The sequence below is a fragment of the Homo sapiens genome, chromosome 1, assembly GCF_000001405.40.
Source record: "Homo sapiens chromosome 1, GRCh38.p14 Primary Assembly".
In the NCBI taxonomy this organism is placed as follows: domain Eukaryota; kingdom Metazoa; phylum Chordata; class Mammalia; order Primates; family Hominidae; genus Homo; species Homo sapiens.
This window is the reverse complement of record NC_000001.11, coordinates 11,268,792-11,273,106: the sequence shown is the minus strand read 5'-3', so window position 1 is coordinate 11,273,106 and position 4,315 is coordinate 11,268,792. Positions and strand designations below refer to the sequence as shown.

At 47.5% G+C, this 4,315-nt stretch overlaps 1 annotated feature.

Moving 5' to 3' along the window:
* Nucleotides 61–330: a silencer, noted in NCBI's record as "silent region_262". NCBI's record gives its function as "represses an Ori minimal core promoter by ATAC-STARR-seq in GM12878 lymphoblastoid cells {active_cell/tissue: GM12878}" and the evidence as "EXISTENCE:reporter gene assay evidence [ECO:0000049][PMID:35858748]".

Sequence of the window (4,315 nt, the reverse complement as noted above, 5' to 3'; positions counted from 1 at the left end):
GTGGGGGGCGGGGGCCTGGTCAGAGGCGGGGCGGGCAGGGCCGAGTCAGAGGAGGGGCGGGGTCAGAGGCGGGGAGAAGGGCGGTGAGGGGTGGGGCGGGGCTGAGGGGCGGGGCCAGACCGGTGGTGGGGCGGGAGGGGGCGGGGCCGGGGCGGGAATGGACCGGGAGCGGGGACGGGCCAGGAGCTGGGGCCGGGCGGTGACCCGGCATCCAGCCCTTTTCCTGCCTGCACTGCGCCCCGCAGCTACTTCCAGACTAACTGCAATCAGCCTCTCTTAGCATCATAAGAACTCGAAGGCGTGTTGCTTTAGGACTTACCGGGCGCACTTTCATTCACGAAGTAGGATTCATTAATTTATTCATGCTACAAGCATTTATTGAGCGCCTGCTGTGTGCATACATTCTGACGTCTATCATATCTGCACCGTGGAAATACTCTATGATGTGCTACTGCTCACCTCTTATCAGCTTTTCATTCAGTGACATCCTTCAGCAGCTTGAAATCTGCCCATGGTGGGAGAATTTACACCACGCAAATCAGCAAATGCTTAATAACTGCTAAGTCGTCTAGACTTAAGAAAGTGGCGGAGAAAATGTTCATATTACTGGTTAAACTTAAAAGTGTTGGAGGGTGCGGTGGCTCACGCCTGTAATCCCAGCACTTTGGAAGGCCGAGGCAGGCGGATCACTTGATGTCAGGAGTTCGACATCAGCCTGGCCAACATAGCGAAACCCTGTCTCTACTAAAAATACAAAAATTAGCCGTGCGTGGTGGCAGGCACCTGTAATCCCAGCTACTCGGGAGGCTGGGGCAGGAGAATTGCTTGAACCCGGGAGATGGAGGTTGCAGTGAGCCAAGATCATGCCAATGGGCTCCAGCCTGGGCAACAGAGTGAGACTCCATCTCAAAAAAAAAAAAAAAATTAGCCGGGGGTGGTGGTGCATTCCTGTAATCACAGCTACTCGGGAGGCTGAGGCAGGAGAATTGCTTGAACCCTGGAGGCAGAGGCTGCAGTGAGCCAAGATCACGCCACTGCACTCCAGCCTGGGCAGTAGAGCGAGACTCCGTCTCAAAAAAGAAAAAAAAGAGAGAAAAAAAGTGTGTAAGTGAATGCACCAAAACTTTGAGGAAATATTCGTTCAGCATTGGCAAATTATTATCCAGTTGAACAAATAAGTCGCTTGTAGCCTTGACAAACTAGTGAAGTTCTGACATATCTCTTTTGATTGTTTCACTTTCCTCTTACTCCTAACATAAAATATCAACCAACATTCATGTCTGAACTATGCTCATTGATCAATTGGGACCATAGGGAAGCTACACAACATCAAAGAAAGCATACTGTGAGAACTGGCTATATGGAGTTTACAATAGAGTCCTGTACTGTATATTTTAGTATTTGTAAACTGTATGCTACACATCATTTACATCAGTGAAATTATAATACACATGCAACATAGATGCACACAGGACTGACTACATAATTTGTGGTACCCAGTGCAAACTAAAGAGGTGGAGCTGGGGGTGATAATGTGTGCCTGTAGTCCCAGCTACTCAGGAGGTTTTTTTGAGACGGAGTCTTGCTCTGTTGCCCAGGCTGGGGTGCAGTGACACAATCTCGGCTCACTGCAAGCTCCGCCTCCAGGGTTCACACCATTCTCCTGCCTCAGCCTCCCGAGTAGCTGTGACTACAGGCGCCCGCCACCACGCCCGGCTAATTATTTTGTATTTTTAGTAGAGACAAGGTTTTACCGTGTCAGCCAGGATGGTCTCTATCTCCTGACCTCGTGATCCGCCTGCCTCAGCCTCCCAAAGTACTGGGATTACAGGTGTGAGCCACCGCACCCGGCGGGAGGATCTCTTGAGCTCAGGTTAGAGACCAGCCTGGGCAACAAAGTGAGATCTCCGCTCTAAAAAATTAAAAAGACCAGATGTGGTGGCTCACACCTGTAATCCCAACACTTTGGGAGGACAAGGCAGGTGGATCGCTTGAGCCCAGGAGAAGACCAGCCTGGACCACACGGTAAAAATCGAAGAATTAGCCAGGTGTGGGCCAGGTGCAGTGGCCCACGCCTGTAATCCCAGCACTTTGGAAGGCCGAGGCGGGCAGATCATGGGGTCAGGAGATAAGACCATTCTGGCTAACATGGTGAAACACCATGTCTACTAAAAATACAAAAAAATTAGCCAGGCGTGGTGGCAGGCACCTGTAGTCCCAGCTACTTGGGAGGCTGAGGCAAGAGAATGGCATGAACCCCGGAGGCGGAGCTTGCAGTGAGCCGAGATCGTGCCACTGCACTCCAGCCTGGGCGACAGAGCAAGACTCCATCTCAAAAAAAAAAAAAAAGAAAAAGAAAAAGTAAAAGAATTAGCCAGGCGTGGCAGTGTGCACCCGTGGTCCCAGCTACTTGGGAGGCTGAGGCGGAAGAATCACCTGAGCCTGGGAAGTTGAGGCTGCAGTGAGTCATGATTGTGCCCCTGCACTCCAGCCTGGGTAATAGAGTGAGATCCTATCTCAAAAAAATAAAATAAAATCAATAAATAAGTGGGGCCAGGCCAGGCACGGTGGCTCACGCCTGTAATTCCAGCACTTTGGGAGGCCAAGGTGGTCAGATGACCTGAGGTTGGGAGTTCAAGACCAGCCTGACCAACATGGAGAAACCCCGTCTCTACTAAAAATACAAAATCATCCGGGAGTGGTGGCGCATGCCTGTAATCCCAGCTACTCAGGAGGCTGAGGCAGGAGAATCACTTGAACCCGGGAGGTGGAGGTTGCGGTGAGCCGAGATCGTGCCATTGCACTCCAGCCTGGACAATAAGAGCAAAACTCCATCTCAAAAAAAATAATTAATTAATTTAAAAAATAAAAAAAATAAGTGGGGCCTCTTGTTCAAAATCATTAACAATTGCAAAACAGAGCATGACACAGCTGTGAAGCTAGCTCTGTACATGTCTGCTTCCACTTACCCCCAATCTGGTTGTTGAACATTACAACTTCACCACTCAACACAGAGCTTTCTATGCTGGCCAAACCCATGAGTCATACAATGTCAAATCAGACAATATATCAGCAGATAGATTAAAATCCTGGCTCTATCACTTACCAATTCCATGTCCCAATATCTCTGTTCTTTGGCTTACTTATATATAAGGTGGGAACAATACAACCTGCCTCATAGAAATGCTCAGGAATAATAGTAAACAGCATTTATTGACTTTTCACATGAGCCATATACTTTGTTTGCTTTTGAGACGGAGTCTTGCTCTGTCGCCCAGGCTGGAGTGCAGTGGTGCGATCTCGGCTCACTGTAACCTCCACCTCCCAGGTTCAAGTGATTCTCCTCCTCAGCCTCCTGAGTAACTGGGATTACAGGCGTCTGCCACCATGCTCAGCTAATTTTTATATTTTTAGTAGAGATAGGGTTTTACCAAGCTGATCTCGAACTCCTGACCTCAGGTGATCCACCTGCCTTGGCCTCCCAAAGTGCTGGGATTACAGGTGTGAGCCACCATGCTGGGCCAAGTACCTCTTTTAGGTACTTTACGTGTGGTATTAGCGTTTAACCCCCACAATACTGCCTACCAACGAAGAGACTATAATCCTTCCAGTTTTACACATAAGGAAATAGGTACAAAGTGTTGCAGCCAAATTTCAGATTCAGTTAGTTTGACTTGACTCCAAGCTGCTTTTAACAAGTACTCTATAATGTCCACCAAAATCCCTGATACACTGTAAGTGCTCAATAAATATTAGCTATTATTTTAGTGTAATGCATAAGAAAGTTCTTTGTAGTGGGAGTTGAACAATGAGAACACATGGACACGGGGAGGGGAACATCACACACCGGGGCCTGTTGGGGGTTGGGGGGCTGGGGGAGGGATAGCGTTAGGAGAAATACCTAATGTAAATGACAAGTTGATGGGTGCAGCAAACCAACACGGCACATGTATACCTATGTAACAAATCTGCACGTTGTGCACATGTACCCTAGAACTTGAAGTATAATAATAAAATAAAAAGACTTGCAAAAATACAATAAAAAAGAAAGTTCTTTGTAAACAGAAAAGAAACCGACAAACGCACTTATTACTGTTGCTATAAAATCATCTTTGATTATTAATTAGAAAACAGGGCTGTATCATATCTCAGGGTGGCAAAAATCTCCTATATGGCTGATGGGAATAAAAATTGGTACCTCCCTTATAGAGATCAACTTGACAAGATTCAACAAAACTGTCTAACCCTGTAATCCCATTTCTGGGAATTTATCTTGATATAGCTGTCAGGGAAGAAAATGATATACGTACAAAGG